The sequence below is a fragment of the Homo sapiens genome, chromosome 6, assembly GCF_000001405.40.
Source record: "Homo sapiens chromosome 6, GRCh38.p14 Primary Assembly".
NCBI classification, from domain to species: Eukaryota; Metazoa; Chordata; class Mammalia; order Primates; family Hominidae; genus Homo; species Homo sapiens.
This window is the reverse complement of record NC_000006.12, coordinates 44,809,838-44,823,231: the sequence shown is the minus strand read 5'-3', so window position 1 is coordinate 44,823,231 and position 13,394 is coordinate 44,809,838. Positions and strand designations below refer to the sequence as shown.

The window sequence follows — 13,394 nt, the reverse complement described above, 5'->3', positions numbered from 1 at the left end:
TGCACCAGATTAAGAATTTCTTGAGGGCAAGTCTTGAATTAACACCTCTTTGTCATTCTCATATACACAGATACTCATAAACATTTGTGGTTTGGTTGGTAGAAAAAAATTTTTTTTTTTTTTTTTTTTTGAAACGGAGTCTCATTCTATTGCCCAGGCTGAAGTGGCTCACAGGAACCTCCGCCTCCCGGGTTCAAGCAATTCTCCTGCCTCAGCCTCCAGAGTAGCTGGGATTACAGGCATGCGCCACCACATCCAGCTGATTTTTGTATTTTTAGTAGAGACAGGGTTTCACCATGTTGGAAAGGCTGGTCTTGAACTCCTCACCTCTAGTAGTCCACCTGCCTCAGCTTCCCAAAGTGCTGGAATTACAGGTGTGAGCCACCGTGCCCAGCCAAAAAAAAATGCATTTAAACATAAGCTCAGAATCCTTTTTTAAAAATCTTTGTTTAATCTCATCAATTCTTATTTCACTTATTTGGCTATACAGCTTATGAACTTTAGATGATCACAGCTTTTCTCTTAAAGACAAATACAATGTCTCAGAAAAACCAATTTAAAGCACCGCATGCATCAGGTTTCTTGTGGCCTTTGTGAGTAGGTCACTGTGCCATCAGTCTTGTGTGAAGGGGTTAAGGACCTCATAAACAGATGACCTTAATCATATTTGCATTACTTTGCACTACTAAGACCTAAGAACCTTTGAGTTCCATCTGAATCTATACAATCTTGAAAAAGAATTACAAACTAGTAGGACTATTTTTGTATATAGTCCATCTTTGAAAACCTACCAGTTCTCCCACTGGTTCACTGTAAAGACAATGAGCCTTTTAGGATCAAATTTCCCTAAAGGTAATGGAATAACATGTCCACTGAACTTAAAGCAAATATAAAGATCTATTTAGACTAAAAATAACATTTTGTGAACCGGAAGCTACTCCAAAGAGTAGCTTGAAATTAAAATGTCTGTTTTCTTTATAGCCATTCCTTCAGAAATCTTATTTGGCACCTATGAAAATCAAGCAATCAACATGTAGTCTGCAGGCCCCAAACAGTGAGCCTGAGGGGAACCGTGAAATTACAGAAAGGGGTTCATGAACCCACCTAGATTAAATTATCTGTAGATTCAATAAAGTATATTTTGCCCATGTAGGTGCTACTCTATTTTATTAATAAATATACACATAAGTCCCATTGTAATTATAAAATGTAAAATCACTTTAACGTGATACTGAAATCCTGCTAGTTTTTTGACACTACCTTTTTTTAAAAAACAATAGATAGCAAAAGCCAAGTTATAGAATGCAGGGATCAGTGAGTTTATGTTAAAAAGTGATTCTCAAGCTCAATAAAAGGTAATCGTTGCTTTCTGTACTTTATCATAATTGCCATTGTCTCCTCGTTCTCCAATGGTGAGTAGATTGTGCCTTCTGAAGATTTCAGGCAGCTTTAACGTGGATTTGAGGGCTTTTTTCTTCCTTTGACATAAACTATCACTGGAACTTTTTTCATATGTCTTATTTTGGGAAAAATTTATGATATTTTTAACATTAGGAAGTTTTGCTTTTCCTGACATTTTATTGCTTTGCCTATTTGAAACATTTCAATCCCAGACAATAAATATTATGTGATTATTGTTTTCATATGGATAGGCTATTTCCTCCCACTCTTTCTAACCCCCTTTCCCAGCTAATGATACTAAAAAAGTAAATTCAGCATTCCCAAAGTCACATATAATGAAAATTGAAAGAGGGGCAGGTTTCAGAGAGGGGGGTAGTAGTAGTTAAAAATAAAGTGAGGTATGTGGTTTTCTTTCAGTTGGATCTCAAATTTTTCTTGCTCAGTTGAAATGAAGATTATTTTGTAAATCATTTTTATCAGCAGTCATAACCAATTATCACATTAATGGTATATTTGAATATCATTTCAATGGAAGCTAAATGGGTCTCAACGAAGTAGATGGATGTTAGCTGTGCATACCATGAGTACTCGGTGTTTAGAAGCATCCACCGTAAAAAGCTGTCCTCATGGCTACCTTACCTTCTTCAAGCCATACATGAAATATCATGTTACTTTCTCAGACCGGGCCACAGTGGCTCACACCTGTAATCCCAGAACTTTAGAAGGCCAAAGTGGGAGGATTGCTTGAGGCGAAGAATTGGAGACCAGCCTGGGCAACAGAGCAAGACCCTGCCTCTACAAAAAATTAAAAAAGTAGCCAGGCACAGTGGCACATTCCTGTAGTCCCAGCTAATGGGAAGGCTGAGGCAGGAGAATCGCTTGAGCCCAGGAGTTCAAGGCAGCACTGAGCTAGGATAGTGCCATTGCACTCCAACCTGGGCAACACAGCCAGACCCTGTCTCAAAAAAACATAAATCACTTTCTCTATAAGACCTTCTCTGACCACCCTTTTAAATATTGAGACCCCAACCCCTGCTCTAGCACATCATATCCCTTTCCTTGCTTTCTTTTTCACTCTAACACTTACTGTCTTCTAAAATACCATTTCATAGATCTGTTTATTTTGTTACTGTGTTCTCCCTCTAGAATGTAGACTCTGCAATTAAGGATCATGGTCTATTTTGCCTACTGCTATATCCCAGCACTTAGAACAGTGCATGACACATAATACGTGTTGAGTCAGTATTATATGAATGAATGACTGATCAGTACTTAATTCTGCAAATTCTTGCAACACTATACCCATGTTATTATACTTCTCTGGTTCTTCTCCAGCCTTTAGCTTTTCCTTTTCACTTCTGTCCTGGCTCGTCATCTTCATATCTCAACATTCAGCTTCCCCTTGACTTTCCCAAGACTTCTGAACTTCTTCAACTGTGTTTTTCAACATAACTCTTTTAAAAAACATTTTTGCATTTTGGTACTTCCTAAATCACAGTGCATCTCCAACAAAATAAGAAATTTGACCACTACAAGCAGAAATTAGTTGTGATGTCATTAGGTTTCAGTAATATTATGTCAAATTTTATTTGATGTATCTTTTTTTCTTTTTGAGATGGGGTCTCACTCTGTTACCTAGGCTGGAGTACAGTGGCGTGATCCTGGCTCACCGCAACCCCTGCCTCCTGGGCTCAAATGATCCTCCCACCTCAGCCTCCTGAGTAGCTGGGACCACAGGCGCATGCCACCATGCCCGGCTAATATTTTTTTGGTAGAGACAGGGTTTCACCACGTTGCCCAGGCTGGTCTTGAATTCCTGAGCTCAAGTGATCCGCCCACCTTGTCTTCCCAAAGTGTTGGGATTACAGGCATGAGCCACTGCACCTGGCCTATTTTGATATATCTGTTTCACCACTTGCTCAAATTTTCTTTTTACCACAGCTCCAGGTTAGCATTTTTATTTAAAAAATCATGTATTATTTATCACTTCATATGTTGCAGAAGTTCTTTAGATATGGCACATAGAAACAATATATTTCCTTTTTTCTTTTTTTTGATACAGGGTCTTACTCTGTCACCCAGGCTGAAGTACACTGGCATGATCACAGCTCCTGGGCTCAAGCAATCCTCCCACCTCAGCCTCCTGAGTAGTTGGGACTACAAAGCACATGCCACCATGCCCAGCATTTTTTTTTTCTTTTTATAGAGACAGGGTCTCACTATGTTGCTCAGGCTTATCTCAAACTCCTGGATTCAAACTGTCCTCCTGCCTCAGCCTCCCAAAGTACTGCGATTATAGGCATGAATCACCACTCTTATCTATGTTTCTTTAAAAAAAAAAAAATGCTTAGTCTGATCTAGTTTGCATATAGGTATAAACCCTTTTTATATGTACAGCACAATTTAGTGACTTCTGACAAATGAACAGTTGTGTAATCACCATCACAATAAAAATAAAAGAACCCAAAACAGTTTTTTCATGTTCCTTTGTAACATGATTCCCCCGCCTCATCACTAACCCCTGGCAACACTCATTCTGTCCCTATCATTTTTTATATTTTCCAGAATGGCATATTAAATGCAATAATTCCATATCAAGTTGAATTTCAAGATTTTTGTGTGTCTTTTTTACTTAGCATTATGCTTTTGAGATTTATCCATCTTGTTTCGTGTGTTAGTTCATTATATGTTATTGCTGAGTAATATTCCATCATATGGATGCACTACAATTTGTTCATCCATTCGCTATTGAGTGGACATTTGCATTGTTTCCATTTCGTTGCTATTAAAAATAAAATTGCTCTGAACACAAATGGACAGATCTTTGTGTGGACTCACGTGTTCATTTGTATTGGGTAAATACCTAGAAGTGGGATTACTGACTCATGGTAAGTGAATATTTATTTTTATAAAAAACTACCAAAATGTTTTCCAATGTAGATGTACCATATGGCACTCCCACCAGAAATATGAGATTTCTAGTTTCTCCATATCTTCACTAGCTTTTGGTATGATCCAGCATTTGGTGTATTGCTTATTTATTTTGCTTTAATTTTAGCCATTCCAGTAGGTGCATAGTGATATCTCATTGTGGCTTTACCTGCATTTCCCTGATGACCAATGATATTAAGCATTTTCCATGTGTTCATTTGCCATCTGTATTTTTTCTTTGTTGAAGTGTTTATTCACATCTTTTGCCCCTTAAAAACATGGTTGTTTGTCTCTTTACAATATAAGTGTTATGTCTTTTAGATACAGATCTATTATCAGAAATGTGCTTTTCAAAACTTTCAAGTCTGGAGCTTGTTCTTTCCTAAAGTGCCCTTGGAAAAGCTGATATTTTTAATTTTGAATAAGTCAAAGTTATCAATTTTTATTCTTTTATGGCTTATACTGTATGTCTTATGTAAGAAACCTTCATCTAACCCAAGCTCACAAAGGCTTTCTTTCTCCTATGTTTTCTTTTAGATATTTAAGTTTTGAATTTTTACTTTTAGGTTTTCTATTTATTTTGACTTTGTATATGGTATTAATACAAGATAAGAGTTGAGGTTCTATTTTTTTGTTTTTTTTGCATATGGATGTGGATGTCAGATAGTTTCAATACCACTCGTTGAGAAAACTATCCTTTCTGTGTTGAATTACCTTGACACCCTTGTCTAAAATTAATTGACCATATAAATATTGCTCTGCTTTGCATCCTGTTTTGTTCCATTAGTCTATTTGTTTATCCTGATACTAATGCTGGTTGTCTTGATTACTATGACTTCTATACTAAGTCATGAAATCAGGTCTTAAGAGTTTCTCAGCTCTTCTTTTTCAAAATTGCTTTGCATATTTTAGATTCTTTGCTTTTTCATATTTCTACAAAACACTTTCTGAAATTTTCACTGGGATTGCTTACAATGTATAGCTTAATTTGGAAAGAACTGACACCTTAGCAACATTAAGCCTTCTAATTAATGAACATGATATAGCTCTCCATTTATAAAGGTCTTTTTAAATTTTTCTCATCAATGTTTTATAGCTTTCAGAATATAAACCTAGTACATATTTTATTAGGTTCGTGCATGGATATTTCATGGCTGATGTTATAAGAAATATTTAAATTTTTTTCATTTTCCAATTATTCATTATTCATTTTATTTCACAGAGAAATAAAATTGATTTTTGTATATTAACTTTTTATGCTAAAACCTTGCTGAACTTACTAGCTCTAATAGATTGCTGAGGTGGTGGGGGCAGTTATAGTTTCTTCGGGATTTTCTACATAGATGATCATTTTGTTTGCAAATACAATTTTTTTTCTTTCTAATCTGTATGGTTTTTATTTCTTCTTCATGTCTTATTGCAGTGACTAGGATCTCCAGTACACTATTGAATAGGAGTGGTAAAAATGGACATCCTGTCCTTTTCCCTATTTTATGGGGAAAGCATTCAGCCTTTACCCCATTAAATTAGCTAAGATTTTCTTAGATGCTTTTTATCACATTAAGGAAGTTTCCTTTTATTCCTTTTTTGCCGAGTGTTTTTATGGATGTTGAATTTTATCAAATGGATTTCTTCATCCTTGAAGACAATGAGTTTTTTTTTTTTTTCCCAGTGATAGATTACGTTGATTGATTTTTACTTGTTGAACTAATCTTTCATTACTGGGATAAATGCAATTCGGTCATGATGTATTAACCTCCGTGTGTGTGGGCATGTGTGTGTGTGTGTGTGAATATGTATGTGTATATTTATATATATTTGTGTGTTTGTATTTTTAAAGAGACAGGGTCTCACTCTGTAGTCCAAGCTGGAGTGCAGTGGCATGATCATAGCTCACTGCAACCTGGAACTCCTGGGCTCAAGCCATCTTCTCGCCTCAGCCTCCCAAACAGCTAGAAGTATAAGCACACATCACCATGCCTGGCATTTTTTTTGTTGTTGTTTTATTTTGTAGTGACAGGGTCTTGCTTGTTGCCTAGGCTGGTCTCGATCTCCTGGCCTCAAGTGATCTTCCCACCTTGGCCTCCCAAAGTACTGGGATTATAGGCCTGAGCTACTGTGCCTGGCGACATTTTGATGGATCTGATTTGCTAACATTTTGCTAGGTATTTTTGTATCTGTACTCATGAAAAGTATTGATCTGGAGTTTTTGTAATGTCTCATTTCTGGTTTTTATATCAGCTAATGCTAGGCTCATAAAATGAGTTTGGGCCTGCTGCTTCCTTTTCTATGTTCTGGAAGAGTTTCTGTAGAATTAGTGTTTTTTGTTGTTGTTGTTAAAATTCCGTAGAATTCACCAGGGAGGCTATCAGGGTCTGAAGTGTTTTTTTGTGGGAAAGCTTTTAGCTATGAATAATATTAGATATAAGGCTATTTCTTAGATAGATATAAGGTTATCTATTAGATATAAGGTTATCTATTTCTTCTTGAGAGAGTTTTGATAGTTTGTCTCTTATTTGTCCCTTATCTAAGTTAACAAAAGTTTTGGCATAAAGTTGTTCATTAAATTATCTTATAATCCTTTAAATGTCTGTAGGATCTGTAGTGACACTCCTCTTTTTAATTCCTAAGATTGGCAATTTGTTTATTCTTCCTTTTCAGTTTCCCTCTAAACACTACTTTAGCTATATCCCACAACCTTTAATGTGTTTTGTTTTCATTTTCATCCAATTCAGAACATTTTCTAATTTCCTTTCTGATTTTCTCTTTGACTCATGGCTTATTTAGAAATGTGTTGATTCGTTTCCAAATGTTTGAGAATGTCCTAGATATCTTCCTGTTACTAAATTTTAGTTTAATTTTATAATACATACTTTGTATGATTTCAGTTCCTTTAGGTTTTCTAAGGTTTGCTTATGGCCCAGAACATGTGCATATGCACTTGAAAACTTGTGTATTGTGCTCTTTGATGTAGTATTCTATAAATATTAGGTCAAGTTGGTTGATATGTTGGTGCAAAAGTAATCACGGTTTTTGCCTTTGAAATAGTAATGGGAAAAACCATGATTACTTTTGCATCAACCTAACAGTGTTATTCAGTTCTTCTGTATACTTACTGATTTTCTACTTTTTACAATCAATTACTGAGAAAGGAGGGTTAATGTCTTCAATTAATATTGTAGACTTATCTGTTTCTCCTTTGAGTTTTATTAGGTTTTGCTTAGTATATTTTGAAGTTCTGTTCTCAGTTACATACACACATTTAGGAATGGCATGTCTTCTTGATTAATTGTCCCCTTTAGCATTCTTAATTTTCCTTTTTACCCCTGACAGTATGTCATGTTCTGAAGTGTACTTGGTCTGATATTAATAAATCTACTTCATCTTTCTTCAGTACTTATATTATACATATTTTTTCATCCTTTACTTTTATTTAAAGTATCTTTTTCACTGATAGCCTATAGTTAGGTGTTGCTTTTTAACCCATTTTACAATCTCTGCCTTTTAATCCCACTCTTTAGACTATATCTAATGTAATGATTGATATGGTTACATTTAAATCTACAATCTTATCCTCATCATAACTCCTTAACATGCTAACTTGTATTTCTTGGTTTTAACTTATTTTTGTCATTTTAACTCTTTAACTTGTTCTTTACCACCCTTTTTATTATTTTTAAAATATTCATTCATTGCAAACAAAAAACTCAGAAGACTCAGAAAAGCACAAAGAATGCAATTAGAATTAGCTATAGTCCTTTAACGTTGAGACTACACGTGACTGACATTTTAATACACACATGCACACATACACACACACACAATATGTTCATAAAGTACATACTTCTTTGTAACCTATAGTAACACTTTCTCATGACTTTTTTTTAAGACTGCAGAGTATTTCTGTTATGAAAAAAATTTGAGGCCGGGCGTGGTGGCTCACAACTATAATCCCAGCACTTTGGGAGGCCAAGGCAGGTGTATCACTTGAGGCCAAGAGTTTGAAACCAGCCTGGCCAACATGGCTAAACCCCATCTCTACTAAAAATACAAAAATTATCCAGGCGTGGTGACGCACACTTGTAATCCCAGCTATTCAGGACGCTGAGGCAGGAGAATTGCTTGAACCCGGAAGGCAGAGGTTGCAGTGACCTGAGATCACACCACTGCACTCCAGCCTGGGCAACAAAATGAGACTCTGTCTAAAAAAAAAATAACAGTAAAAATAAAATTTTGAGACTATAACACTGCTCCCACCCCCAAACTGGGAAGATGCCAAGAAACCAAAGAATGATTCGGACAAGTCCAGCTTGGTGAGTAGATGAGTTTATTAAGACTTACAGACAGGGAACTCCTGGGCAGCAGCAGAACAACTCTAGAGATCCACGCTGCCTCCCATCTCGAAGGCTGCTTTTAAGCTAATTTTCTGGCTCTTTGCCTACCGTGTGTGTGATGGGACTGTTTTCCTTGGTATGTTCCCAGATACTCTCTGGGAAGTTTGGATTCTCAGGGACACCTGCTCCTCTGCTGGGCACCCTGGACTTGGATCACTGCCTGGCCTTTAGGGTTCAAGCAGTGAACATATACCCTTAAATAACCTGTTGGGAGACCTGTCACTACATTTCTTCATACTATGATGGCTGGTTCGTTTTCAATTGTATCCTATTTTTGGACATTTCTCTTTTCCTAAAGTTTTGCATTATAAAATGTGCATTATTTTTCACACATCAGACTTATTTCCTTCTCTTTTGGCCTCTGTCATTTTGGTTGTCAGCCTGTTGTTGCCCCTGTGAAGGTAATGTGCCTGCTTTTCTCTGGATGCTTTTGAGGTGTTTTTCCTTTTATTCTTTAACAGTTGTAGTATGACATGCCTACATGTAGTTTTCTTTGTTTTTCTTTCTTGGAATTTGTAGAACTACTTGAATCTGTGGCTGGATATTTTTCATCGATTTTTTTAGATCCTATCCACTTTTCTTCAAATATTTCTTTATGTCTTCTAGGATTTCAATTAGATGTATGTCAGACTTATTTTTTTAACCATACATTATATGTCTTCTGTACCCTTTTCTGTATTTCTTATTTCCTTTTCTCTCTGCTTCAATATGAATATTTTCTACTGACCTATCTTGTATTTATTGAACTTTCCTTCTAAAATTCTATTAAGCTCATCTACTGAATTCTTAAATTTTTTTTATTTTTTTAATTATACCATCACCATTTGATTCTTTTTTGAAAAAAAAAAAATTCCAGTTCCAGTCCCTTCTTTATTACCTCAATATTTGGGTTGCTTGGGAATGTTTCTGTTGTCTGTTTTTTTTTTTTTCCTCTTGGTTTTCAGTGCCTCCTGCTTTGCCTATGAGTGTTTTACTGAATGCCAGACATCATATATGCAAAAGATATAGACGCTCTGGGCTGGGCACACTGGCTCACCCCTGTAATCTCACCACTTTGGGAGGCCAAGGTAGGGGGGAGGATCTCTTGAGCCCAGGATTTCAAGACCACCCTGGGCAACAAAGCAAGACCCCATCGCTACAAAAATAAAAATTAACTGGGCGTGGTGGCATGTGCCTGTAGTAGTCCCAGCCACTCAGAAGGCTGAGGCAGGAGGATCCCTTAAGCTCAGGAATTTGAGGCTGCTGTGAGTTATGATTGCACCACCGCACTCCAACCTGGATGACAGATCAAGACCTTGTCTTAAAGAAACTCTGGATGGTGATTTTTTCTAGAGAGGATATAATTTTCTGGCAGGCAGATGGGGTACAGTTGGATCAAGGTTGATCTATTTCTGCTTTGCCTTTATTCCTAGAAAATATCCCTAGGGTCTCAGCTGAGAGCCTATGGTGTTTACCAGGCCCCTTCAACCCTGGTGAGCTCTGAAATCTAACCCCTAACCCAATAAGATTGATGGAATTTTTGCTCACCTTTTTAGCCTTCCGTCTGCTGCTCTCACCCCCCACCCCACCATATGTACAGCTTTGGAGTTGACATATGCTTCAAGGGGAAATTGCATGCAGAATTATAGACTTATTTCTCTGTAGTTTCCTCTGGTCAGGGAATCATGGTCCCTCAACTGCCTTGGCAGCCCCAAACTCCAACCTCTGCTTCCCCAGCCCAGTGATACTGCCATAATTCCCAGACTGTTTGGCCTCACTTCGTCTCACAGTTAATTGGCAAATTTCGTGAGAAAAAAAGAGAACCTGACTTTTCTCCATTATCTTATTCTCTCAAGTCCTGGCCACACTGGATTTTTTCTGATGCTTCAAATAATTTGTACCCCTACCCCAAGATGTCCATATCCAAATCTCAGAACCTGTGAATATGTTACATCACATAGCAAAAGGGAAATAAGGTTGCAGATGGCATGAAGGTTGCTAATCAAAGGAAGTTAAGATGGAGAGGTTATCCTAGATTATCCACATGGGTCCAGTCTAATCACATGAGCTCTTAAAAGCAGAAGAATGGGTAAGAGAGATGCAACATGAAAATGACTTGATGTTCTAGCTTTGAAGACAGAGTAAAGGAGCCACGAGCCAAGGAATATGATGGCCTCCTAGAATGGCCCCAGCTTACAGACGGCTCGAAAATGGAGACCTTGGTACTGAAGAAACAGAAACTGAGTTCTCCCAACAATCTGAATGAACAGGAAACAGATTCTTCCCTATAGCCTCCAGAAAAAAACATAGTCTGACAACACTGATTTTAGTCTAATGAGACTTATACTGGACTTCTGGCCTATAGAACTGTAAGATAATAAATTTGTGGTATTTATGCTACTAAATTTGTAGTAATTTGTTACGGCATCATAGAAAACTATTACACAACTGCATTTGTATTTTTTTTTCCAGCTTCTGTAGTTGTTTGCAGTTTGAAAATCAGTCTCTCATACCTTGAGTTATCAGTCAGGGTTCAGTCACAGAATCAGAACCACTGTGTACTATGGGATGAGGATTACAGGAATCAGACCTTATACAGTTGTGAGAAGAACTAGGAAAGTGAAAGCATAGGAAGGAAGTTGGAGGATCAGAGAAAAAAAAAAAAAAGACCAACCCATCAATGTGAGAAACAAAGAACAACCAAGTGCCAAAAGTGGCTGCAAAGTGATGGCTTATGAGAAGGTATGCAGGAAGCCATGCTTCTGTATAACTGCCACCTTGGCAGGCCCACCACTGAGTGTCTGGCATAAGCTGGGAGCCACTGTTGGTCAACAGCCTCTTCAGTCAGAACTGAATGTGGAGTAGAAGAATGTGAAGACAAGCTAGAACCTGTCAGCATTTCTGTGCCTTCTCTGTACCTGCAAGACCTTCAAAGATCAATAGCTGCTTCATTTCCACCTTCCACATCTGCATACATTTCCCTTTTGGCCAACTCTAACTCAGAACCCTGTAGGGAATGGGAAAGTAGTTTAAGTTTCACCAAGTTGGCACACTACCAATGACTGCAGTCTATCCAACCTTTGTCTACTTGGTACCCATACATACATCTTTTAACCATGTTTAACCTCCAAATAAAGTCAACAGCAAAATGCTTCCACCTAACATGATGCATGCTAACCCTGTCCTCCAAAAAGGGTATAAATACCTTTGTGGTCATCTTCCCAATAACCCATAACCCCTTCTAATCTTGAGCATCATACAAATGTCACTTGAGAGGCATTACAGAATACCTGACCACACTCCTCAAAACTGTCAAGGAAAGCCTGAGAAACTATCATAGCCAAGAGGAGCCTAAGGAGACATGACATAAATGTAATGTGGCATCCTGGATGCAATTCTGGAGCAGAAACGGGACAATGGATAAAAACTAAGGAAATCCGAATCAAGTATGGGCTTTAGGAAATAACATACCAATATTTGTTCATTAATTGTGACAAATGTATCATAATGTAAATTACTAATAATAGAGGAAAGTAGGTGTTGGGTATATGGGAACTTTGTGCTGTCTTCACAATTCAGTAAATGTAAAACTGTTCTAATATAAATTTTTTTTTTTTTTGAGATGGAGTCTCTCGCTCTGTCATCCAGGCTGGAGTGCAGTGGCACGATCTCAGCTCACTGCAGCCTCCGCCTCCCAGGTTCAAGTGATTCTCTTGCCTCAGCCTCCCAAGTAGCTGGGACTACAGGCATGTGCCACCAGGCCTGGCTAATTTTTGTATTTTTAATGGAGACGGAGTTTCACCATGTTGGCCAGGATGGTCTCAATCTCCTGACCTCGTGATCCACCTGCCTCAGCCTCCCAAAGTGCTGGGATTACAGGCGTGAGCCACCATGCCCCGCCAAAAGTGCATTTTTTTTTTTTTTTAGTAAAAGGCTATTAAGTCCTATATGACACATCCATTTTGGGGTGATATTTTTTCCTCTTTTCTCTGAGTCACACTCCCTCTTTAATATCCTGTAACTTAAATACTGAGCTATATGGCTAGCCACTATTAACACATCTTCTATTAAAGATAGGGAATGGAAGTGGGGGAGTAAAGAAAATTAATACCAAAAAAATGCTGTATTCATATTAAAGTAAGAAAGAAATACTTACAACCACTACTGTCATCATTTCTGTAACTGGTCCAATGGTCCTTGCTAGTATTTATAACTTCCGTCTTCTGTTAGCCAGTCCATATCGCCTTTGCCCTTAGTAAACAACTCAGCTGATGTGCTTCCTTGCCTCATGGGGTGATCCTGCCTATTTCTGTTTCAGTTATCTTTTGCTGTGTAACAAACCCACCCCAAACGTTAGTGGCTTTAAGGCAACATTATTTTTTTTATTTCTCATGATTCTGGAGTCAGGCATTTAGATGGTATTTAGCTCTTGTCCAGAGCTGCTGAAGGACAGAAGTATACTCGGTTTGGACCCACAGGCCCAGTCTTGGCTTCTGGAAAAAACTACACCAACAATACATTTGGCCCCTTCACCACAAGGTTTGTTTCCTCCGTGGATCTGGCACTAAGAAATTATATCTATTCGTAACTCTTGCCTGATGAGTAACTTGGATCCTAAATTCTCCCTGCCCTTAATGGCTGTGTGGTGTTTGAGAAATTGCTTTAACTTTGGGGTCTTGGATTCCTCAT

The 13,394-nt window shown here is 37.7% G+C and overlaps 1 protein-coding gene and 1 long non-coding RNA gene across 10 annotated transcripts in view; one reads left to right on the top strand and one right to left on the bottom strand.

Moving 5' to 3' along the window:
- LOC101929770 (uncharacterized) overlaps positions 1 to 13,394 on the bottom strand; it is a 105,175-nt gene that overhangs the window by 9,879 nt on the left and 81,902 nt on the right. The window lies entirely within an intron of this gene.
- Positions 1 to 13,394, top strand: part of SUPT3H (SPT3 homolog, SAGA and STAGA complex component) — a 568,878-nt gene that overhangs the window by 554,703 nt on the left and 781 nt on the right. The gene's annotated exons all lie outside the window — the stretch shown is intronic.